This window comes from Homo sapiens, chromosome 15 (genome assembly GCF_000001405.40).
Source record: "Homo sapiens chromosome 15, GRCh38.p14 Primary Assembly".
NCBI lineage: Eukaryota > Metazoa > Chordata > Mammalia > Primates > Hominidae > Homo > Homo sapiens.
This window is the reverse complement of record NC_000015.10, coordinates 50,719,085-50,745,608: the sequence shown is the minus strand read 5'-3', so window position 1 is coordinate 50,745,608 and position 26,524 is coordinate 50,719,085. Positions and strand designations below refer to the sequence as shown.

Sequence of the window (26,524 nt, the reverse complement as noted above, 5' to 3'; positions counted from 1 at the left end):
GCCACTGCACTCCAACCTGGGCAACAGAGTGAGACCCTACTAAAAAAAAAAAAAAAAAAAGGCCAGCTGCAGTGACTCATTTTTGGGAGGTCAGGTGGGCAGTTCACTTGAGCCCAGGAGTTCAAGATCAGCCTGGGCAACATAGTGAAACCCCGTCTCAGCCGGATGTGGTGGCTCACGCCTGTAATCCCAGCTCTTTGGAGGCTGAGGCAGGCGGATCATCTCATGTTAGGAGTTCGAGATCAGCCTGGCCCACATGGCGAAACCCCATCTCTAGTAAAAGTACGAAAATCAAACAGGTGTGGTGGCGTGCGCCTGTAGTCCCAGCTACTCAGGAGCCTGAAGCAGGAGAATCACTTGAACCCAGGAGGTGGAGGTTGCAGTGAGCCGAGATCATCCCATTGCACTCCAAGCTGGGTGACAGAGCGAAACTCCATCTCAAAACAGAACAAAACCCATCTCTACAAAAACATAAAAAATAAAAATTATATTTTCTAAGTATTTTTATTGAAAGAAATGAAAAAGCCACAAACTGCATTGTTTGCCATAAATTCATACACCAGAAAGTAAAATGCAATCCAGCTGAATCTGTATATGCTTCCCTTTTCTCCAACAACAGTTTTAAATGTTTTCTATATACTTTATAAGTTTTATTAAAATCAGTTCTAATTAATTTATGCAGATTAGGGGAAATGATTTATGATAAATTATCCTTAAAATTACCTTCTACAAACTTCTAACCCTACTGCCCCCATAGCCACCACATCTGCTGCTAAAGTGAACAATGATGCAATGTACTGTTTGTGGGGGCGCAAAGCATCTGTAGTCTTGATTTCCTGAATAGCCAAAGATTTCAACTTTCTGCCAGTTTAAACAAAAAGACTCAAATGGCCAAAATTATACAGTGAGAAGAAAAATCTATAGCATGAAGATTAACTAAAACTTTAAAGCATGTCTGTATTTTAATTTAAATATAGAAATTTCAAATGTACATAAAATTCAGATTTTCCTATTTAGTAGTAACCTTAACTCGGTCTCCTTACAGTTTTGTACTTTTGGCTCTAAATTAAAAAGAGTCAGTGTATATTCATAACTCTCAATGAAAAAAATGTGCCCAGAGCATATTATTTCATGTATGAAGGGCAAAATATATTTGCCTTGTGAATTGATCTATAGCTTCCATTTAAAAGATCTTATTTGTAACTAAATGAAGCTAAGGTTATTTGTAATTTCTTAAATACTAAAATTTGATTGACTTACATCAAGAGGGAAATGTTAAGAGTTTAACAAGTGTAGGTTCCTGGAGCATTGAGCTTTAAACATTTTTTGTATTTGGAAAGCATGTTTCAACATATATCAGTCACATCTTTCATATGAGTAAGCATGTTTTTCTCCTTCATTATTAATCTTTAATCTTTTTTTTTTTTTTTGAGATGGAGTCTCACTCTGTCACCCAGGCTGCAGTGCAGTGGTGCAATCTTGACTCACTGCAACCTCCACCTCCCAGGTTCAAGCAATTCTCCTGCCTCAGCCTCCCAAGTAGCTGGGATTGTAGGTGTGAACTACCACACCCAGCTAATTTTTTGTATTTTTTTTAGTAGAGATGGGGTTTCGCCATGTTGGCCAGGTTGGTCTCGAACTCCTGACCTCAGGTGATCTGCCTGCCTCAGCCTCCCAAAATGCTGGGATTACAGGTGTGAGCCACTGCGCCTGGCAATTATTAATCTTTATAAAGCATAGTATGTAAGATCTCCATATCTCTAAAATCATTTTGTATATTACTTAGGGAAACTTTAGAAATAATTTTCCAAAAGCTGCTGATTTATTGAAAATGTTTTCCTATTTATTATAGATTCTTACTGTACTTCCATTACCATGTAAATTTTTTCTTCTCTAGAATAGTGCTTCTCAAACTGTAAAGTGCATATACTTATCTAGAGATCTTATTAAAATACAAATTCAGGCCAGGCGTGGTGGCTCACACTTGTAATCCCAGCACTTTGGAAGGCCAAGGCAGATAGATCACTTGTGCCCAGGAGTTTGAGACCAGCCTGGGCAGCATAGTGAGACCCATCTCTACAAAAAGAATTTACAAATTAGTTGGGTGTGGTGACATGAACCTATAGTCCTAGCTACTCAGGAGGCTGATGTAGGAGGACCATTTGAGCCCAGGAATTTCAGGCTGCAGTGAGCCGTTATCATGCCACTGCACTCAAGCCTGGGCAGCAGAGCAAAATCCTATCTCAAAAAGATAACAAAAAGAATAATAAACTACAAATTCAGATTTAGTAGATTTGGGATAGGGGCCCAGATTTTGCATTGTGTGTTTTATTTTTTTGAGATGCAGTCTCACTCTGTTGCCCAGGCTGGAGTGCAGTGGTGAGACCCCGGCTCACTGCAACCTCTGCCTCCCAGGTTCAAGCAATTCTCCTGCTTCACCTTCCCCAGTAGCTGGGATTACAGGTGCACACCACCAAGCCTGACTAATTTTTGTATTTTAGTAGAGACAGGGTTTCACCGTGTTGCCCAGGCTAGTTTCGAACTCCTGAGCTCAGGCAATCCGCCCGCCTCAGCCTCCCAAAGTGCTGGGATTACAGGTGTGTGCCACCGTGCCTGGCCCAATTCTGCATTTTTAACAACTCCCAAGTAATTTAGCTGGCCTATGGACCACACTTTGAGTTTAGCAAGGCAAGCTTTTTTATATACACGCTAGGACAAGCTCCTCCTTGAGAAAATTGAAAATTGGAGGGGAGTACATATCAGCTTTTTTATTTGTAAAACATGATGATGGAGCAGAAACAAGTAATTTGTTGCCTTCAAAAACCAGATTGGGAGAGGAAATGTCCCATACCTGCAGGATCATGGATTTTAAAATTGAGGGGGCTGATTCTAAGAGCAAAATAAAGATAGAGAGAAGTAAGTGTATGTGGGAGGAGAAAGGGGTGGTGACCGTATGGAGAAAGAGAATATGAATCAGTGATGTAAAGGAAAAAGTTCCATAAAAATAATTATTAAAAACATAAGGCCCATCATTTAGCAAGTAATGACAGTTGGATGGAAAGAGAGTAAGGCTTAGGGAAGGGAAAATGTGCCAGAACAGGACCTCACAACCCAAAATTACTCTACCAAATGAGAGATGTACCTTAAGCAAAAGGGAAAGATGCCTGGGTTCTGTAGAAAGACTTTTCAGCACAGTGTTAAAATCTTTTTTTTTTTTGGAGTCGAGGTTTTGCTCTTGTTGCCCAGGTTGGAGTGCAATGGCGCGATCTTGGCTCACTGCAACCTCCGCCTCCTGGGTTCAAGCAATTCTCCTGCCTCAGCCTCCCATGCACCACCATGCCCAGCTAATTTTTGTATTATTAATAGAGATGTGGTTTCACCACGTTAGCCAGGCTGGTCTTGAGCTTCTGACCTCAGGTGATCCGCCTGCCTCAGCCTCCCAAAGTGCTGGGATTACAGGCGTGAGCTACCATGCCCAGCCTAAAATCTTTTTATAATAAGGTCACTGGTCCTCAGCCTTTATAACCTCTAGATGGCATGCAATAAAGCTTAGGTTTCTATTGCGTATGGCTCTCAAGCTGATATGAAAGTACAATTTTTTTTTTCAAAAAAGATGAATTGTAATTTTTTTTTCTTTTTTTTTGAGTTGGAGTCTCACTGTCACCCAGGCTGGAGTGCGGTGGCATGCGGTCTTCGCTCACTGCAACCTCTGCCTCCCAGGTTCAAGCGATTCTGCTGCCTCAGCCTCTCAAGTAGCTGGGATTACAGGCACGTGCCACCATGCCTGGCTAATTTTTGTATTTTTAGTAGAGATGGACTTTCATCATGTTGGCCAGGCTGGTATCAACTCCTGACCTCAAGTGATCCGCCCACCTCAGCCTCCTAAAGTTCTGGGATCACAAGTGTGAGCCACCACACCCAGCAGAATTGTAATATTTTAATGTGATATAAATCTAGTACACTGTATGCTTTCCTTCAAGAAATTGCCTGTGCTTTTTAGTTTAATGACTATGAATAGATATTGAATTATTATGGCTCATATGTATACTATGACAAAAATTGCTTTAAATGTATTTCTGTAGTGACAGATATCATAATTAGCACCTTTTTACACTCAGGTACCACATTTGTAGAAATTTATTTAATACCCTGTCATTCAGCTCTGGAGTTTCAGGGGGAGGTGCTAGCATGTCTCCATCAACTCTCTCCCTCCTCTTTTCCCAGGCAATCTACTCTTTTTTTTTTTTTTATTTTTAAAATTAATTTTTAAAAATATATTAAAATAAATAAACTTTTTTAACCTAAATTTTATATTGAGCCCAGACCTAACAAGCAGGGCCAGGATTTGCCCAGGAGGGAGCAGAGTTTAGAACAGAGTTGTTGAAAAGTATTCAGAAGTAGTATTAATAATGTGTCATAGGTTGCATATAACTAGGAGGAGACAGTAGTAAGGTCGACAAGAGAGATTGCCCAACAAACAACAGTTGCAGTTCTTTTCCTCCTCGACTTCTGTCTCTATTATTAGCTCTGTGGCCTAGCAAGGGTTGATACAATATTTCGTTATCTTAAATAAAGGTAGGACAAAGTTATGCCTTGAATTTCTTTTGAGTCCTTTATAATACATTGATGAGCATAGACTAGGCATATAGTAAATGCTAAGTTGATTGAGAGGAGAATTTAGCGTTTACATTTAAGAGAAGCGGCTGGGTGCGGTGGCTCACACCTGTAATCCCAGCATTTTGGGAGGCTGAGGTGGGTGGTTTGCCTGAGCTCAGTTCGAGACCAGCCAGGGCAACATGGTGAAACCCCGTCTCTACTAAAATACAAAAAATTAGCCGGGCCTAACCGCATGTGCCTGTAGTCCCAGCTACTTGGGAGGCTGAGGCAGGAGAATTGCTTGAACCTGGGAGGCAGAGGTTTCAGTGAGCAGAGATCGCGCCACTGCACTCCAGCCTCGGCAACAGAGCAAGACTCTGTCTCAAAAAACAGAGAAGCTAATTTTTAGAAGTACTTTACTATCTGTAAGTTGATAATAGTAAGTTTGTAAGAAGCATTGGTTTTAGTTTGAAATTTATTATGTCAATATAATTTTCAAATTAGGTAATATAAACATCCACAAGTATTAATTTGTTTATATAATAGATGTCATCTCTTTTTTTTTTCTTTTTTTTTTTTTTTTTTGAGACGGAGTTTCGCTCTTGTTGCCCAGGCTGGAGTGCAATGGCACGATCTCAGGTCACCACAACCTCCGCCTCCCGGGTTCAAGCAATCCTCCCGCCTCAGCCTCCCAAGTAGCTGAGATTACAGGCACACACCACCACACCCGGCTAATTTTTGTATTTTTAGTAGAGACAGAGTTTCACCATGTTGGTTAGGCTGGTCTCGAACTCCTGACCTCATGATCCGCCCGCCTCAGCCTCCCAAAGTGCTGGGATTACAGGCATGAGCCATCATGCTCGGCCAACGTCATCTCTTTCAACAATTTTGCCTGCAGAAAAAAATGTTTCAAAAGTTAGTGGTTGAAAACAGATCATCTCTGGAGAGTAGCATTTAAGAGGTTTTTACTTTCTAGATTAAATATTTCTTTGTAGGGTACAGTTTTTAAAAAGTACATTACTTGCTATAACAAGATAGCTTAGAAAAATAATAAAATAAAAATATTTTAATAAATAAAAATACATTGTTTTCTTCAGAAACAGATTTAAATTGGTGTTAGAGATAAATTTTTTAAATAACTGTACTTGGCTAAGATTTGCTAAAGTTCCTGTGTGTTTGTACAGGGAAAACTTGAAAGCAGTGACAACTGAAGATAGAGAAATGAGGAAAAAGAAGGAAGAATATTTAACTTTTAGTCCTCTTACAGTTGTAATATTTGTGGTCATCTGCTGTGTTATGATGGTCTTACTTTATTTCTTCTACAAATGGTTGGGTAAGAAGTCATATTTTATGTTTGCTACTGTTAACATACATTCTTTTCACTGACTATTACTAGATTTATCTTTTCCTTTAAGCCATTCTACCTGGAAAACGTATGTGAATAATTTGGTTAATATTAATTTTTTTTTAATTATCAGAGTGTTAGGTCTCTGTTACTCTGAGATAAAAATATTCAGATTAAAAATACAATATGTGCCAGGAGCAGTGACTCACACCTGTAATCCCAGCACTTTGGGAGGCCAAAGTGGACAGATCACCTGAGGTTGGGAGTTTGAGACCAGCCTGACCAACATGGAGAAACTCCATCTATACTGAAAATACAGAAATTAGCTGGGTGTGGTGGCACGTGCCTGTAATCCCAACTACTTGAGAGGCTGAGTCAGGAGAATCGCTCGAACCTGGGAGGTGGAGTTTGCAGTGAGCCGACATTGCGCCATTGCACTCCAGCCTGGGCAACAAGAGCGAAACTCCGTCTTAAAAAAAAAAAAAAAAAAAAAAAAAGTACGTTATGTTTTCAGATAAGAACACTTCTTCATGGATGACTTGAAATAATTGCCATGGTCCCTAAGTTTTCCTCTCTGTAGATGAATGATATAGCTCAGTATCTAAGCAGTGGATTAAGGAGTTCTTGGTGGCTATATTTAGTTACATGAAATAGAAGATTATTCAAATTACTGATGTATTGCCTCTACTTACTCCCAAGTGTAGTTTATCTTTTGTCAATTTGCAAATCAAGATGTTTTATTGCTTGAATTTTATGTTACTTATATAAACAGTTAGGATCATATATCTGAAGACACACAGGTACTTCCCTGTGGTCTAGAAAGTAACTAGTTCTTTTTTTCCTTGAAGAAAGTGGGAGCAGGAACTATAATGGCTTGTCCATCTCCTGAACAGTCTTATTAATGGCTTAATAGAATGGAAATTTGCCATCCCTGGACAGTATACAGCACAAAGAGAAGGGAGACCAGGGTAAAAGGAGTGTACCTGATAAGAACTAGCAAAAAGCCCTTTTAAGAACCACCAAAGGCTACCATGCTTATGTGTATAGCATTAGCATAAATTTCTGGACTAGAAAACTAGGGCCTAGGATTTGTTTCATTCAGCTTTTTTTTTTTTTTTGGAAACAGAGTCTTGCTCTGTCGCCCAGGCTGGAGTGCAGTGGCGCAGTCTTGGCTCACTGCAACCTCCACCTCCCAGGTTCAAGTGAGTCTCCTGCCTCAGTCTCCTGAGTAGCTGGGATTACAGGTGTGCGCCACTGTGCCCGACTAATTTTTGTATTGTTAGTACAGACGGGATTTCACTATGTTGACCAGGCTGGTCTCGAACTCCTGACCTCAAGTGATCCACCTGCCTTGGCCTCCCAAAGTGCTAGGATTACAGGCGTGAGTTACCGCACCCAGCCTCATTCAGTTTTTGTTCAGTTTCTCTTGTCCTGTGACAGCAGTTTAAAAACTAGACCTATGATATCTTTTTTTTTGAGACAGTCTTGCTCTGCTCTGCTCTGTCACCCAGGCTGGAGTGCAGTGGCACAATCTGGGTTCACTGCAACCTCTGCCTCTCGCATTCAAGCGATTCTCCTGCCTCAGCCTCCCAAGTAGCTGGGACTACAGGCACATCCCACCATGCCCAGCTAATATTTGTACTTTTATTATTTGTATTTATTTATTTATTTGAGATGGAGCGATTCTCTTGCCTCAGCTTCCCAAGTAGTTGGGATTACAGGCATCTGGCACCACCCCCAGCTAATTTTTGTATTTTTAGTAGAAACAGGGTTTCACCATGTTGGCCAGGCTGATCTCAAAGTCTTGACCTCAGGAGATCCACCTGCCTCGGCCTCCTATAGTGTTGGGATTACAGGTGTGAGCCACTGTACCCAGCTTATGACATGTATTTTTTAATTAAAATTAAGTCATTCTGGCCAGATGCGGTGGCTCTCGCCTGTAATCCCAGCACTTTGGGAGGCCAAAGTAAGTGGATCACTTGAGGTCAGGGGTTCAAGAGCAGCCTGGCCAACATAGTGAAACCCTGTCTCTACTAAAAATACAAAAATTAGCTGGGCATGGTGGTGCGTGCCCGTAGTTCCAGCTCCTCAAGGGGCTGAGGCAGGAGAGTCGCTTAAGCCTGGGAGGCGGAGGTTGCGGTGAGCCAAGATTGCCCCATTGCACTCCAGCCTGGGTGACACAGTGAGACTCCATCTCAAAAAAAAAACTCATTTTGTTAATATCACTCATTTTAAACTGTTGTTGAGAGAGCGAGTACTAAAATGATATTTGTATTATGTTGGCATCAAACAGGTGATTTTATTAATTTAATACTCCTTCAGATTAATTTCTGTTATCAACTCTTAGTTTATAGTAGTCATTGATAGAAAAAAGAGAGCCCTCTACTTTACCTGAAAGCATATTTTAGTTTTTGGTAAGAGATTTCCTTAAATTCATCGCTATTTAAAAAGAAGACAGCTGGGTGCAGTGGCTCACTGCTGTAATCCCAGCACTTTTGGAGGCCAAGGCAGGCATATCACCTGAGGTCGGGACTTTGAGACCAGCCTGGCCAACATGACAAAACCCCGTCTACTAAAACTACAAAAATTGGCTGGGTATGGTGGCGCATGCCTGTAATCCCAGCTATTCAGGAGGCTAAGGCATGAGAATCACTTGAGCCCAGGAGGTAAAGATTGCAGTGAGAGCCGAGATTACACCACTGCATTCCAGCCTGGGCGACTGGGCGACAGAGTGAGACTCTCAGAAAAAAAAACAAAAAACCTCACGATCTAAATTTCAGCTTAGTAAGTAATTCAGGTCATCGTATAGTCACTTCATTGGAAGTATGATTCAATAAAGAAAGTAAAGAATTAATATTGCTTGTATAAATATTTTCTTATCACCTTTCCTTCTGTTCTCATGTAATTTAGTGTTTTGTTTTTTTCAGTTTATGTTATGATAGCAATTTTCTGCATAGCATCAGCAATGAGTCTGTACAACTGTCTTGCTGCACTAATTCATAAGATACCATATGGACAATGCACGTACGTATCTCTTACAGGAAATCTTATAATGTTGGTGTTTATAATTTGAAACAATACAAAAGTAGGAGTATTATTTGAAACCTATATAGTCCAATATACATTGGACCTACAGGTGTTTAAATTTAAATTTAAGTAAAATTAAATAAAATTAAAAATTGAGTTTTTCATTCTTATTAGCCACATTTCAAGTGCTCAATAGCCACATATGACTAGTAGCTACTATATTGGACAGCACAGATATAGTACATTATTCATCATCACAGAAAATTATATTGGACTGATAAACATTTTATTACGTCTCATTTGTTTTACTTAAAATCAAGACTTTCAAAATTGATATTTCAGTCACTTCTTATGACTGTGGTTAATATTTGCTACTTCTTATATCAAGTGAACATTGTACTTCATCTGCAGTGTTAACTATTTTAATCTGTTTTTTAGGATTGCATGTCGTGGCAAAAACATGGAAGTGAGACTTATTTTTCTCTCTGGACTGTGCATAGCAGTAGCTGTTGTTTGGGCTGTGTTTCGAAATGAAGACAGGTATGAATACTCAATGTATTTGCTTTTAGATTAAGGATGAATTGTTTCCTATCTTGCCCTGATACTTATTATGATTATTATGGAATTTTTTTGCTTCTATGCCAGAACACCAGTCTTGTAATGAACTACTTCTTAAATAAGCAGATCTTATGTTAATGCATTTGAACTCATATAGAGAAGGAAATATGAATTATGATTTTAACACATACACTGAAATAGACTTTAAAAATATACTTAATTTCACGCCTGTAATCCCAGCACTTTGGGAGGCCGAGGCAGGCGGATCACCTGAGGTCGGGAGTTTGAGACCAGCCTGACCAACATGGAGAAACCCCGTCTCTACTAAAAATACAAAAAATTAGCCAGGCGTGGTAGTGCATGCCTGTAATCCCAGCTACTCGGGAGGCTGAGGCAGGAGAATCGCTTGAACCCGGGAGGCGGAGGTTGCAGTGAGCGGAGGTTGCAGTGAGCCAAGATCGCGCCATTGCACTCCAGCCTGGGCAACAAGAGTGAAACTCTATCTCAAAAAAATATGTGTGTGTGTGTGTGTGTGTGTATGTATATATGTGTGTGTGTGTATATATGTATGTGTGTGTGTGTATATATACACACACTTAATTTTGGTATAGCCACACAGTTGAGTGCAGTGCAGCTCTAAACAATGAAGATCTCTATGAATTGATATGCAGGGAGTTCCAGGAGAGAGAGAAAGAGAGAGAGAGTGCAGAAACAATCAAAATGTCCATCAAACTTTGAATGGGTGAATACATTACGTTATATTTACACAATGGAATACTGTTCACCAATAAGTAAGCCATATACCACATGCAGAGGCGTGAATGAATCTCAAACGTAATGCCAAGTGAAAGTAGTCAGATACAAAAGAGAACATACTTGCCGGGCATGGTGGCTCATACCTGTAATCCCAGCACTTTTGGAGGCTTGAGGTGGGCAGATCACCTGTGGTCAGGAGTTCGAGACCACCCTGACCAACATGGAGAAGCCTCGTCTCTACTTAAAAATACAGAATTAGCCGGGCATGGTGGCATGCGCCTGTAATCCCAGCTACTCAGGAGGCTGAGGCAAGAGAATCACTTGAACCCAAGGCAGAGGTTGCAGTGAGCTGAGATCACACTATTGCACTCCAGCCTGGGGAATAAGAGTGCAACTCCGTCTCAAAAAAACAAAAAAAGAAAAGAGAGAGAGAGAATATACTCTATGATATATAAAGTACAAAAAGGAGCACAGTCTATACTTTTTAAAAAGTTTTATTTTTAATTATTATGGGAACATAATGACTATATATATTTACGGGATACATGTGGTGTTTTGATACAGGCATTCAATGTGAATGATCACATCAGAGTAATAGTGGTATCCATCACCTCAAGCCTTTGTCATTTCTTTGTGTTGGGAACATTCCAATTTCACTCTTTTAGTTATTTTTACAATATACAATAAGTTATTAACTGTATCACCTTATTGTGCTACCAAACACTAGATCTTATTTATTTTATTTAGCTATATTTTTGCACCCATTAACCATCTTCACTTTATCACCCCCACTCTCTACCTTTTTTTAGCCTCTGGTAACCATCATTCTACTATCTCCATGAGTTCCATTTTTTATTTTTATTTTCTTAATTTTAGCTCCCACGATGAGTGAGAACATGCAATATTTGTCTTTCCGTGCTTGGCTTATTTCACTTAACATGATGTCTTCAGTTCCATCCATGTCTTTGCAAATGACAAGACTTCATTATTTTTTATGGCTGAATAATATTCCATTGTGTGTATTTGTAAAATTATATATATATGAGTGTGTATAATATTTCCTTTATCCACTGGTGGACACTTAGGTTGATTCCATATCTTGGCTATGGCGAATAGTGCTGCAATAAACATGAGAGTTCAGGTATCTCTTTGATATACTGAGTTCCTTTCTTTTGCATGTATATCCAATGGCGGGATTGCTGGATCATATGGTAATTCTGTTTTTAGTTTTTTTGAGGAATTTCCATACTGTTCTTCATAGTGGCTGTGGTAATTTACATTCCCACCAACAGTGTACAAGGTTTCCCCTTTTCCCACATCCTTGCCAGCATTCTGGGATGAGATGATATCTCATTGTAGTTTTGATTTACATTTCTCTAATTGCAATCAGATTTCATCTGATTGGAGATGTTGAGCATTTTTTCATATATCTGTTGGTTATTTTTATGTCTTTGGAGAAATGTCTATTCAGATATTTTGCCCAATTTTTAATTGGATTACTTTTTTTTTTCTATTGAGTTGTTTGAGCTCCTTACATATTCTGGTTATTAATTGCTTGTCAGATGGGTAGTTTGCAGATATTTTCTTTCATTCTGTGGGTTGTTTCTTCACTTTCTTGATTTTTCCTTTGCCATGCAAAACCTTTTAGCTTGATGTGATTCCATTTGTCCATTTTTGCTTTCGTTGTCTGTGCTTTTCAAGTCTTACTCAAGAAATCTTTGCCAAGACCAATGTCCTGGAGCATTTCCCCAATGTTTTCATCAAGTAGCATCATAGTTTCAGGTCTTAGATTTAAGTCTTTAATCCACTTTGATTTGATATTTGTATTTTTTTAAGTGAAAAAAGCAAAGTGCAAAAAAATATATAGAGTATGCTGTCTTTTATGCAAGAAAGAGGGGGATATAAGAAAATATACAGATATCTGTTCATTTGTAGGAAGATAACCAGAAAAAATATATACTTAGGTTTATATTAATGGTTTATTAATAAAATTATTGAGGACTGAAAGGATTTAATGGCCTAAAATTTGGGAAACAAAGCTCATACAGCTTTATGCAGCTTCAGGTAGGATAATCAATGGATAATTACTTATGTCAATTTCTGATGGAGTAAGTTGCATAGCTCTTGTTTTCTTTATGTTCAAGCTATTTGGATCTGTGTTAACACTGGTATTTTGTTAACAGCTGTTTTCTAGAGCGAGACGTGTTAATGCACTTATGTCTGATATATGTTCTTCTGAGGTAGCCTTTTCAACTTTTTCTTAGTGTAATAATATTCATTATTCTACTAGGACAGTAAAATTACCAAATATAGAGTATATGAGGGGTTTTGTTGTTATGCTTGCTGTTTAATAATTGAATAGTCAGAAATCAGCCAGGCATGGTGGTGTGCATGCCTTTAGTCCCAGCTACTTGGGAAGCTGAGACATGAAAATCACTTGAACCCAGGAGGTGAAGGTTGCAGTTAGCCGAGATCATGCCACTGCACTCCAGCCTGGGTGACAGAGTGAGAATCTGTCTTAAAAAAAAAAAAGGAATAGTCAAATCATAGCAATTAAATGATATTACCTCAGTGATCTATGTCTTTTGAAAGGCTTCATCTAAACATTGATAAAGCAATAGAGTAATATTTTTTGATTTTAGGTGGGCTTGGATTTTACAGGATATCTTGGGGATTGCTTTCTGTCTGAATTTAATTAAAACACTGAAGTTGCCCAACTTCAAGGTAATGTATACAATACTACTTTGCTAGTTAAAATAAATTTTTAAAAGACAACTTTATTAAGGCATAATTTACCTACAATTAAATGCGCCAATTTTTGGCGTACTGTTTATGAAAATTTTATGAATGTGTAACTTTATAACCACTATCCCAGTGAAGTTGTAGAACATTTCTCATCTCTTCCAAAAGCTCTACCATGGCCTTTGCAATCAGTCCTTAACCCCCAGGCCCAGACAACCACTGATTTGCTAGCTAAACTATTGTTTTTTTTTCTTTCTTTTATTTGTATAAATTTAAGGGGTTCAAGTGTAGTTTTATTACATGGATATGTTGGGTAGTGATGAGGCTTATAGTATAACCATCACTCGACTAATGTGTTTTGTCCCCATTAAGTAATTTCTCATCCCTCACCCCTTCTAACTCTTCCACCATGCCGAGTATCCCAGTGCCTGTTATTCCTCACTCTTATCCATGTGTACACTTTATTTTAGCTAAATTTTGTTTGTTTGGTTTTGTAGAGATAGGGGTCTTGCTGTGCTACCCAAGCTGTTCTTAAACTTCTGGCCACAAGCAGTCCTTCTGATTTGGCCTCCCAAAGTGCTGGGATTACAGGCATGAGCCACTGCACCCTGCCTAAAATATTTTTTTTTTTATTTATTTGGTTTTTTTTTTTTTTTTGAGATGGAGTCTCATTCAGTCTCCCAGGCTGGAGTGCAGTGGTGTGATCTCGGCTCACTGCAGCCTCCGCCTTCTGAGCTCAAGTGATTCTCCTGTCTCAGCCTCCCAAGTAGCTGGGATTACAGGCACCTACCACCAAGCCCTGCTAATTTTTGTATTTTTAGTAGAGACAGCGTTTCACCATGTTGGCCAGGCTGGTTTTGAACTCCTGACCTCAAATGATCTGCCCACCTGGGCCTCCCAAAGTGCTGGGATTACGGGCATGAGCCACTGTGCCCAGCCTGCCTAAAATATTTTTAATCATTCATATAATATGCCAAATTCATAAAATCTTTAACATGACCAAATATCAGGGAAGCACATTTCTTCTTTTTTTTTTTCCAAGACAGAGTTTCACTCTGTCACCGAGGCTGGAGTGCAGTGGCACGATCTCAGCTCACTGCAACCTCTGCCTCCTGGGTTCAAGTGATTCTCCTGCCTCAGCCTCCTGAGTAGCTGGGTTTATAGGCACGTGCCACCATGCCCGGCTAATTTTTGTAGTCTTAGTAGAGACGGGGTTTCACCATGTTGGCCAGGCTGGTCTCGAACTCTTGACCTCGTGATCCGCCCCGCCTCAGTCTCCCAAAGTGCTGGGATTACAGGCGTGAGCCACCAGGCCCAACCCAGCACATTTCTTTGGTTCGGTGATTTTTTTTAAAAAAATAAGATAAAGAAGATAAGGGTTTTAATATGTAGAATAAAACTATACATAGTATTAACCATAAGATATCTTTTTAAAAGTAATATTTAAATGTATATTCATATATTTATTTGCACTTGAAAAACAATTTAATGCCTTCATTTACATTTAGGAAGATTGACCTTTAATTTTGTTTCTTTCTTTGACAGTCATGTGTGATACTTCTAGGCCTTCTCCTCCTCTATGATGTATTTTTTGTTTTCATAACACCATTCATCACAAAGGTATGACCATATTTTTGAAATGGGTGAAGAAACATGCTAAAAAATGATCATCTTAAATCTGCTCCTAGATTATTAATTTTGCAGATGTTTACCACTGAGTGAATTCTAATTCTCTTAAAAGAACTGTCATTGAAATTGGCCTTTTAACTTTCAAGCTTTTAATCCATTTTGTTAGATTTTAAAATGTCTCTTGACTGATATAAATATGAGAATATCTGTACTTTTCTTCCCTTTTTAAAGTATTTTTTCTTATGAGCTAAATGTTTACTGTAGGCAATATAGACAATAAAAAAAATAAAATATCATTTCTGAAGCCCTAGTTTGAGACTAAGAAAGAGCAGCACGCTGGAAATCGGAAGGCCTAGAATGTAGCTCTGTAACCTTGCAACCATAGGCAAGTTACTTAGCCCTTTCTGCTTGCATTTACTAACGCGTTGAATGAGGGAGTACTGCTAGCTATTCATCTTCCACCTCCATCAGTGGAATTCTTTTGGTTCCAACTAACAGAACCCAACCGAAGCCTTCTGTACCAAAAAGGTCCCATTTATCTAGGCTGTGTTTGTAGGCCAGTGTGGGACTGGCGTCAAGAGAAACTAGACTCAGGGCCACATACTCTCCCTTTTTGCTTCTGTCCATTTGTTCATTCTCTCAGACTGGCTTTTTCCATGAAGTTAGAATCTGAGCAACTGGCAGCTCCTAGGTCATATATTCCCAGATCTGCCGCTAGCTCTTCAGTAAAATGAGGAGAGGTGTTGGGTGAGTATGGTGGTCCTTAATTATTTGTCAAGCTTTTCTACCTTGATCCTTTTCCTGTCTCATGAATATAATATTAATTATTGCTTAATTCCCCTACTTTCTCCCATTTTGAGTCTTGCTTTGTAACTTTATATTATCCATTTATCCTTTGTCACTCATATATTTAAGTATTTGATATTCTCTACTTTATTTATCATTCCTTCTTTTTTTTTAAAAGGCCGAGTCTTGAGGCTGAAGTGCAATGGCACAGTCCTAGTTCACTGCAGCCTCAAACTCCTGGGCTCAAGCCCAGGAGTCCTCCCACGTTGGCCTCCCAGAGTATTGGGATTACAGGCATGAGCCATAGTGCTTGGCCTCATTTCTTCTTTACCCATTCATTAAACCTATCATCTGTGAAATCACTGTAAAAATCTACACTTCTGATATTTGCTATAATGGCATAAAGACAAACTGTACCCTATTGGGGAGCTAAAATTGTAATAGGTAACAAATATAATTAACTGTCCCAAAATACAGCTAACCAACCAAACTTTTTTTTTTCCTCTTCTTTGAGACACAAACCTTTTTTTTGGTTTTTTCCTCTTCTTTGAGACTGGGTCTCGGTCTGCCGCCCAAGCTGGAGTTCAGTGGCTCAATTATGACTTACTGCAGCCTTAACCTCCTGAGGCCCAGGTGATCCTACCACCTCAGCTTCCCAAATAGCTGGTACTACAGGGACACGCCATTATACCCAGCCAATTTTTGTATTTTTTGTAGAGATGGGGTTTTACCATATTGCCCAAGCTGGCATATGGGTCAGCTGGCATATGCCTGGCCTAACCAAACCATTTTACTAGCACCTTTCTGTCACTTAATGATGAGCCATTTGATTCATTGACTTCACTGAACAATAGTAACCTAAAAAAAGAAAAATTCATAGAACTAGTATTATGGGTTATAACTAAACTTGTTAATTTGGCCAGGTGCGGTGGCTAATGCCTATAATCCCAACACTTTGGGAGGCCAAGGCAGGCAGATCACTTGAGGTCAGGAGTTCGAGACCAGCCTGGCCAACATGGTAAAACTGTATCTCTACTAAAAATACAATAATTAAGAGGCCGGGTGCGGTGGCTCACGCCTGTAATCCCAGCACTTTGGGAGGCCAAGGCGGGTGGATCACTTGAGGTCAGGAGTTTGAGACCAGCCTGGCCAACATAGTGAAACCCCATCTCTACTAAAAATACAAAAATTTGCCAGGCACAGTGGTGGGCGCCTGTAATCCCAGCTACTTGGAGGGCTGAGGCAGGAGAATCGCTTGAACCCACAAGGTGGAGGTTGCAGTGAGCCAAGATTGCGCCACTGCACTCCAGCCGGGCAACAGAGCGAGACTCCATCTCAAAAAAAAAAAAAAATACAATAATCAGCCAGGTGTGGTGGTGCACGCCTGTAGTCCCAGCTACTCGGGAGACTGAGGTGGGAAGATCGCTTGAAGCCAGGAGCGGAGGTTACAGTGAGCCGAGATCGTGCCACTGCACTCCAGCCTGGGCAACAGAGTGAGACTCCGTTTCAAAAAAAGAAATTGTTGGCCGAGCGCAGTGGTTCACGCCTGTAATCCCAGCACTTCGGGAGGCCAAGGTGGGCGGATCACGAGGTCAGGAGATTGAGACCATCCTGGCTAACATGGTGAAACCCCGTCTCTACTAAAAAAATAGAAAAAAATTAGCCGGGCATGGTGGCGGGCACCTGTAGTCCCAGCTACTTGGGTGGCTGAGGCAGGAGAATGGCGTGAACCCAGGAGGCAGAGCTTGCAGTGATCCGAGATCGTGTCACTGCACTCCAGCCTGGGCAACAGAGTGAGACTCCGTCTCAAAAATAAATAAAAATAAAGATAAAAAATAAAATTGTTAATTTATTAGGGTATTTTTAACTTGGTTCAAAAGTGTGTTTTTGTAGGATACCCCATGAGAGATCTCATAGCAAAAGTGAAATGTTCCCTCTACAAAGCCATTTCCATAAATCAACAGATAATCCATAACATATGACACATATATTACACAGTAGATACAGCTGTAAACTGTAACTAAACTGTTTTTTAAAATAACTTTTCCATTCTGACACTACTCTTCACTTTGTGAATAAACATATCTGCCCCAGCAAACTGTTTGCATTCCATATACATAGAATGTTTCAGAATTTTAAAGGTATAGGATGAAAATAAAGGTGTCTTTTAGCCTTCTTTCTTTTGTGCTTAAGAAATTTTTCGTCTTCCTATTTCTATCTTAGTTCCTACTGACTAGGAACATGATTTCTAGCAACCTAATGTGGTGGAAAAAGCTAAGTGCTCGCTCTTTGGAGTTCACTGCTGTAGATTTACTTTAATACCTTCTTCTGAGTCTGATTTGTTTGTTTTTATTAAGGCAGCAGGCCTTAGTTTAGTAGGTAACTCAAAAATCAGATTGCTGATTTTCCTGGTTTTCACTGTAAATTTGAAGGATTAAATATTGCATATTCTAAACATGTTCTTGACCCAAGTATTAGTGGCCTTCTAGTGAGTTGGCAAGGCAGGTCACCATAAGAGTACAGCAATAAGAGCCTGTCTTGTTCATTTTTTTCCGTCCACCACTGTGCTCAGTATTGTGTCTTAGAAGTAGTAGTTACTCGGGTATCTTTAAATGTATGGGAGGATGTCAATGATGGTCTTCAGTTAAATGTTTTACATAACAATTAGAAAGTGAACCAAAATGAACTCTTTATCTGGAAATGTTATCACAACCTGGGAATCTGCTTTAAGGAACTGTACTTAGTATTAGTTTATTTTCCTAAACTCCTTTGACTTAACCCCTCTGTAACCCAAAGCTTAACATGCGCAGAAGATTTCTGCAGCTACGGGTTTTATCCTCCTTTCTGCTCAGCTCAGGAATCAGTGAGGTCCTTTTAAAAACACTCAAGTGGTTTCTCCTGTGCACCCCACCCACATGGAAAATATTATAGTTAGTCAATCAAATTTTCCTGAAATTCAGCATTTGTTTATCTTCCCTGTACCTGCTTTGCTGATACACTACAATAATACGAATGATAAAATGAGTGGTTCATGCAGTCTTAGCTTGCTGCCTCACAATGTTTTCCCTCTCCACAACAGACTTGGCTATCAGGAAAAAATTTTTAAATGAACCCCTCACACAACCCACATAAAAAGACTTTATCCAGGCACAAGGGAGGGAAATTTAGCTAAGGTTAATGTTTTGATTGGATCATAGAAAGCAGGCAGGGCTGAAATTGGATGAGAGTTAGGCTAGAGAAGCTTCTCAGATTCTATAGGGTTGGGTCTTTTCGAGTTTGGTTTCATTGTTTTGTTATTGTGGTGAGTAGCCAGAAGGTCAGATGTATATTTATTCAAATAAAGTTACCAATATTTTTTACAAAGCTAAGTGTAAAAGATTTTAGTATGATCTTCTTCACTGACATTACTGAAAACTGCTAAGAACATATAGTATAAGGCATAATGTAACTAAAAGTACTGTACCTAAAATTTTTAACCCATTACAAATGTCAGATATGAATATGTCATTACAAATCAGAACTGAGGGTTCACTTGAATTATTTTTACATGATTCATTTGCCAATTTCTGAGAATTATTGAGCTCTGATAAAGTGGAGCAACTGTACTAGGTGGACTTTGTTTTAGATGACTTCAGTTTTTGCAATCTACAAAGACTTTAGGAAAAAAGCAGTCTGCAGCCCATTTTCAATCAGTGTAACTGGCCATATGCCATGGGGCTTAAATCACACTTGAATAGTGGCAGATTGTTCTCTTTAAATGATTAGACAACTTCTTTTCCTTCTCAATTTTAGAATGGTGAGAGTATCATGGTTGAACTCGCAGCTGGACCTTTTGGAAATAATGAAAAGGTAGGGATGGCAATGAAATAGAAATGGCTATCCAGTGTATGTATGTGTATCCGGTTAATAATTTGCCTTCCTGTGTAATTCACTGGCCACATAGTGCATGTTAAGGTATTGTAAAACTTATTTCTCAGAAAATATAGCTCTTTTCTTAGTTATTCTAAATTATTAAATACCTATTGACTTGGGTTTCATCCTAGAATGATGGAAACTTGGTGGAAGCCACTGGTCAACCCTCAGCTCCCCATGAGAAAGTAAGGATTGTATTTTAGATATGTTCATTGGACTTTAAATCATACCCTCTGAGACAAGACTCTTCTTTGGGGGAAAAAAAAATCCAGATTGCCAAAAAAAATTAGGCCTGTTCTGTTTTCTATGTTTCAAGGCCTGAGTTCTATCCTTGGTAAAGAGAAAAAAAAAAGGTTAAATGTGGGGATACTTGGTTAATACTGTTAATCCTACATGTGTGTTGAGCATTTTTTTCAAAACTAATCTTTTTCTTTTGGAAATAGATAGAAACAGAGTATTTCAAGTTCCTTTAAACTGTCAAAAGAACTATTCTAATGTTAATCATTCCATTTCTAGAAGATATGGGTGGCCAGGCACGGTGGCTCATGCCTGTAATACCAGCACTTTGGGAGGCTGAGGCAGGCAGATCACCTGAGGTCAGGAGTTTGAGACCAGCCTGGCCAACATGGTGAAACCCTGTCTCTACTAAAAACAGAAAAATTAGCCAGGCATGGTGGCTCATGCCTGTAATCCCAGCTACTTGGGAGGCTGAGGCAGGAGAATTGCTTGAACCTGGGAGGCGGAGGTTGCAGTTGCAGTTGCAGTGAGCTGAGATCACGCCACTGCACTCCACTTGGGCGACAGAGCGAGACTCTGTCTCCAAAAAATAAATTAGTAAATAAAAGATATGAGTAAAGATTGCCAAGAAGTTCATTGGCGGCCTCTGTTTTGTTTTTTGTTTTGTTTTGTTTTGTTTTGTTTTGTTTTTGAACAGTTGCCAGTAGTCATCAGAGTACCAAAACTGATCTATTTCTCAGTAATGAGTGTGTGCCTCATGCCTGTTTCAATATTGGGTTTTGGAGACATTATTGTACCAGGTAAGCAATTGTAACAATTTTAGTTAAAAAAAAAAACACTGATGATTTTAAATCGTCATATGTATAGAATCTGTTAAAAGTTACCTACTCTGTATTAACTATTTCTGGCTGTCACTAGAGCTGAGATTGTCATAACAAAAAAGCTTGTTGAGGGGTAGAAGGTAAAGCCCAAATGGTAACAACTAAAGTACTGCAATAGCTCCCATGGCTCAAAAAGTTTGTTAGAGAAAGCAACTAGGATCAGTTTAACCTTCTTCTTCAAGAAAGTATATTTGTGACTCTTTTTAGAAGTTGAATATAATAATGCCAAACAAATAGTTTATATTACTTATATTTTAAGATAATAGTTATGTTTTAGAAAAAGGGGTTTAAGAATATTAGGCAAGGCTGTGATCAAGAGGAGAAACATAGAAGAACACCAGCTTGTAGGACTGCGTAATACAAAAAGACACAGTTTATAGTGGAACTGATCACCATCTCTTAGCATGTCTGCTCTGACAGTGTAGTTTTGCCTTACTTTCCTCACTGCTCTGTCTGTAGAATAAACTTAATCCAAGCCCATTAATAATTTAGTTTAGAAGTAATTAATAATATTCCTCTATCAACTGAGTTTTTCCTTCTTCATTTTTCTTTTTTTTTTTTTGAGATGGAGTCTTGCTCTGTTGCCCAGGCTGGAGCGCAGTGGCATGACCTCAGCTCACTGCAACCTCCGCTTCCCAGGTTCACGCCATTCTCCTGCCTCAGCCTCCTGAGTAACTGGGACTACAGGCGCCTGCCACCGCACCTGGCTAATTTTTTTTGTATTTTTAGTAAAGACTGGGTTTCACCGTGTTAGCCAGGATGGTCTCGATCTCCTGACCTTGTGATCTGCCCGCTTCGGCCTCCCAAAGTGCTGGGATTACAGGCGTGAGCCACCGCGCCGGCTCCTTCTTCATTTTTCTTAGTCTTCCTATGTACTAACTGCCTGTGGTGGATGGGTGAGGAGTACTGGTGCTTCTGAAAAAGCCCTTCTATTTACATAGTAAAACCAGGTAGAGAGAGAAAAGCTAGCAGCGTTGCCTTGCAAGTTGACATGTTAGCTCAGTGAATCTTGATTCACATAATTGATAAAATAAGGAAAACATTCTATTGAGTAACCTTACACTTCTTTGAATATCATTAAACTTATGCCTGATTTTACCATTTCCACACCAAGGGCTATACAAGATCTTCTATATAGAACTTGGCATAGAACTGGTAAAAATAGCATATAAATACTACATTATTGAAGTAAATGTCAAAGGTCTAAAACAAAAATATTTCTCCAAAGAGCAGAGGTACTGACAATACATGACAAGCTGAGATTTCTTCTTTGGGAAGAAGAAAAGGTTCAACAAATTTCTTACAAGAAATAGATATTAAATGAGTTGTTTCTGCATAATTGCATATTCACAAATGAAAGCATGAGCCGAGCTTGGCGGCTCATGCCTGTAATCCCGGCCCTTTGGGAGACTGAGGCAGGTAGATCACTTGAGGACAGGAGTTCAAGACCAGCCTGGCCAACATGGTGAAACCCCATCTCTACTAAAAATACAAAAATTAGCTGTGTGTGTTAGCACACGCCCATAATCCCAGCTACTTGGGAGGCTGAGACAGGAGAATCACCTGAACCCAGGAGGCAGAGGTTGCAGTGAGCTGAGATCACACCACTGCACTCTGACCTGGGTGACAGTGAGACTCTGTCTCAAAAAAAAACAAAAAAAACCCAACTGAATAGTATTCCAGTCTGTGTATGTACCACATTTTTTTATTCATTCATCTGTTGATGGACACTTAGGTTGCTTCCATATCTTGGCTATTGCGAATAATGCTGCAGTGAATATGGGAATGCAAATATCTCTTTGACATACTGATTTCAGTTCCTTTGGATATATACCCAGTAGTGGGATTATTAGACCTAATGGTAGTTCTAATTTTAATTTTCTGAAGAACCACCATACTGGTTTCCATAATGGCTACACTAATTTACATTCCCATAAGCAATGTACAGGGTTCCCTTTTGGTACATCGTCTCTAAGGCTTACTTTTCATCTTTTTAATAACAGCCATTCTAACATATGTAAGGCGATATCTCATTGTGGTTTTAATTTGCATTTTTCTGATGATTAGTGATTTTGAGCAATTTTTTCATATACCTGTTGGCTATTTATGTGTCTTCTATTGAGAATTAGCTACTCAAATCCTTTGCCCATTTTCTAATTGGGTTGTTTACTTATTATTGAGTTGTTTGAGTTCCTTATATTAATATATTTTAGGTGTTAACCCCTTATCAGATACATAGTTTGCAAATATTTTCTCCCATTTCACAGGTGTTTTCTTCACTTTGTTGACTGTTTCCTTGGCTGTGCAGAAGCTTTTTAGTTTGATGTAAACCCATTTGTCTGTTCAATATATTTTTTAATGATAAATTTTAAAAGTTTTCTTCATGGCTGGGCTTGGTGGCTCATGCCTGTAATCCCAGGACTTTGGGAGGCCAAGACCAGTGGATCACGAGGTCAGGAGATCGAGACCACCCTGACCAACATGATGAAACCCCATCTCTACTAAAATACAAAAAATTAGCCAAGTGTGGTGGCACGCGCCTGTAGTCCCAGCTACTCAGGAGGCTGAGGCAGGGGAATTGTTTGAACCCGGGAGGCAGAGGTTGCAGTGAACCGAGATCGCGCCACTGCACTCCATCCTGGGCAACAGAGCGAGACTCCGTCTCAAAAAAAAAAAAGTTTTCTTCATGACATGGAATATTGAGCAGCTGATAAAAATGATAGTTAAAAACTATTTAATAGCTTGAGGAAATGTTTAAACTATGGTATTAAGTATTTTTAAAATCAGCATATAAAATTTTGTCAAGAATTTGAGGTACTTGAATGTTCTTATAATGCAACAATGAAGATTCAATATAACATATACTTACTATTGTTAACAATTGAATTTGCATTGCTGTTATTGTTTTAAGAAAATAATGTTTTGTTTTGTTTTTAAGGCCTGTTGATTGCATACTGTAGAAGATTTGATGTTCAGACTGGTTCTTCTTACATATACTATGTTTCGTCTACAGTTGGTAAATTTTTGTTTTTCTTTGTATTAAATGTTGAATTGTATTGTCTGGAGGAAAAGACAGAGGTCTAAAAATAAAGAAGGAGTACAGTTTGGGCATGGTGGTTCACCCCTGGAGTCCTAGCACTTTGGGGGCCAAGGCAGGCAGATTGCTTGAGCCCAGGAGTTCTAGATGAGCCTGGGCAACATAGTGAGACCCCATCTCTAAAAAAACAGTTTTAGGGCCAGGCACAGTGGCTCACACCTGTAAGCCCAGCACTTTGGGAGGCCGAGGCAGGCAGATCATAAGGGCAAGAGATTGAGACCATCCTGGCCAACATGATGAAACCCTGTCTCTACTAAAAATACAAAAAAAATTAGCTGGGCGTGGTGGCACGCACCTGTAGTCCCAGCTACTGGGGAGGCTGAGGCAGGAGAATCACTTGAACCTGGGAGGCAGAGGTTGCAGTGAGCCAAGATTGCCCCACTGCACTCCAGCCTGGTGACAGAGCAAGACTCTGCCTCAAAAAAAAAAAAAAAATTATTTTTGTATTAGCTGTGTGTGGTGGTCATGCCTATGGTCCCAGCTACTCAGGAGGCTGAGATGGGAGAAACGCTTAAGCCCAAGAGGTCAAGGCTGCAGTAAGTCATGATCGTACCACTTCACTATAGCCTGGGCGAAAGATTGAGTCCCTGTCTCAAAAAAAAAAAGAAAGGAAGAAAAAGAAAAGAAATAGCTAAGTGAGGGAGAAGATGAAGAAAAGAAAAAAAGTATAAAGAAATTCAAAAAGCAGTCTCAGCTGGGCACAGTGGCTGGCCAGACGTGGTGGCTCATGCCTGTAATCCCAGCACTTTGGGAGGCCAAGGCAAGTGGATCACTTGAGGTCAGGCGTTTGAGACCAGCCTGGCCAACATGGTGAAATCTCAACTCTACTAAAAATACAAAAAGTAGCTGGGCATGGTGGTGCACACCTGTATTCCCAGCTACTCGGGAGGCTGAGGCAAGAAAATTGCTTGAACCTGGGAAGTGGGTTCAAGAGACAAGATTGCACCACTGCACTCCAGCCTGGGCAACTGAGCGAGGCTCCATCTCAAAAAAAGCAGTTTGAGGCCACTAAGTATGGTACTCTCCAGGGCTTTAACATATTAGTATCCAAAGGCAGATTATAGGAGTGTTCATTAATTCTCCTGTGTACCTTTGGACAACTTAAACTCCCTGTTCCTCCATTGCCTCATCTTTAAAATTAGAAACTATACTAAATTGTTTATAAAGGGAATATTCTGAGATCCTATGTTCCTAGTAAAACCCTGAGTCATTAAGAAAAGTTCAGGCCGGGCGCGGTGCTCACACCTATAATCCCAGCACTTCGGGAGGCTGAAGCGGGTGGATCACCTGAGGTCGGGAGTTTGAGACCAGCCTGACCAACATGGAGAAACCCAGTCTCTGCTAAAAAATACAAAATTAGCCAGGCGTGGTGGCACATGCCTATAATCCCAGCTACTTGGGACGCTGAGGCAGGAGAATTGCTTGAACCCAGGAGGCAGAGGTTGCGGTGAGCTGAGATCGTGCCATTGCACTCCAGCCTGGGCAACAAGAACAAAACTCCATTTCGAAAAAAAAAAAAAAAAAAGAAAAGTTCAAAAGTATGTGCTTATTAACAAAGCTTAGGAAGTATGTAATCAGTGTTAGGAAGATTTTTTTTAAACAACTTATATTACCTATTGGTACAGATTTAGTTATCTAAAATATGAAACTATTTAACATCTTTAATAGCAACAGATAATTGAAGCTCTCATGAATTATTATCTCTTATCAATGATACATGGTTAGGTTAGTAATAATTGAAATGCTAACCAGTTTCCACATTTTTCAAAAGCTCCATAGAAGATGTCTCCTAATCCTATCTAGGAAAATGATGAAATTACAAGAAGTCATAGAGCAAAAATATCCTCAGAAATGTTTGAAAACCAGTACATAAATGACAGAGGAAAAAACCCACCTTTGGTAACATGTAGAAATGACTTATAGCTTGGTATTCTTCTTGCAGCCTATGCTATTGGCATGATACTTACATTTGTTGTTCTGGTGCTGATGAAAAAGGGGCAACCTGCTCTCCTCTATTTAGTACCTTGCACACTTATTACTGCCTCAGTTGTTGCCTGGAGACGTAAGGAAATGAAAAAGTTCTGGAAAGGTAACAGCTATCAGGTATGTGCTTATACTTTGGTTACCAAGTTATCTTATGGCTTAATTTACTGACTGATTTTGGGTGGGAACAGCCTATATGTAGCAAAGCTTTTATGTACCAAAAAGTACTGTAATACCCCCTTACTCACTGTCCACCTATTGAATCATCATTTGTGACCTCCCCTGCAATCTAATGCCAAAAGCCTGGTGATTCAAGACAAAACTACAAAAAAAAAAACAGCAGAGGACATCAGGGAAAACAAAATAGCATTTCAACATGTATTTTCAAAACCTACACAAAAGCAGACTTCATGAAAGATAAAATTCGTTGTTTAAAATAAGTACTTAATTTTGAGACTAAGCATTAGCTATTTGTAGTAAGAGTCCTAAGGTTTTGCAGATAAAAAGTGTACTCTGGCCAGGCACGGTGGCTCACGCCTGTAATCCCAGCACTTTGGGAGGCCGAGGCAGATGGATCACCTGAGGACAGGAGTTCGAGACCAGCCTGGCCAACATGGTGAAACCCGTCTCTACTAAAAATACAAAAAATTAGCCGGGTGTTGTGGCAGGCGCCTGTAATCCCAGCTACTTGGGAGGCTGAGGCAGGAGAATCACTTGAACCCAGGAGGCAGAGGTTGCAGTGAGCCAAGATTACGCCATTGCACTCCAGCCTGGGCAACAAGAGTGAAACTCCATCTCAAAAAAAAAGTGTCCTCTTCAGCATCTAAATGGGCCTAACCAAACTAGATAGGGCATTCATTTGAGATTTAAGTGAATCAAGGTTGAGCTTTCTTTAAAATTTCTAAACAAAGAAAATCTTGATACCAAGGTCTCTTTTGCTTGAGTGGTTTCTTCATTAAAGTTAAAGCCTTTTCT

At 39.6% G+C, this 26,524-nt stretch overlaps 1 protein-coding gene across 4 annotated transcripts in view; it reads left to right on the top strand.

Moving 5' to 3' along the window:
- The window catches only part of SPPL2A (signal peptide peptidase like 2A), a 63,441-nt gene that overhangs the window by 20,098 nt on the left and 16,819 nt on the right, over nt 1–26,524 (top strand). The window contains exons 6-15 of one of the 4 annotated variants that reach the window (NM_001438111.1): nt 5,781–5,929; nt 8,869–8,965; nt 9,407–9,508; nt 12,925–13,006; nt 14,570–14,644; nt 19,232–19,288; nt 19,483–19,536; nt 20,286–20,388; nt 23,408–23,485; nt 25,509–25,669. In NM_001438111.1, the coding sequence (NP_001425040.1) occupies nt 5,781–5,929; nt 8,869–8,965; nt 9,407–9,508; nt 12,925–13,006; nt 14,570–14,644; nt 19,232–19,288; nt 19,483–19,536; nt 20,286–20,388; nt 23,408–23,485; nt 25,509–25,669 (958 nt within the window). The remainder of the gene's footprint in view (nt 1–5,780; nt 5,930–8,868; nt 8,966–9,406; nt 9,509–12,924; nt 13,007–14,569; nt 14,645–19,231; nt 19,289–19,482; nt 19,537–20,285; nt 20,389–23,407; nt 23,486–25,508; nt 25,670–26,524) is intronic. The other 3 variants (NM_032802.4, XM_017022680.2, NM_001438112.1) reach the window with 3 other exon arrangements.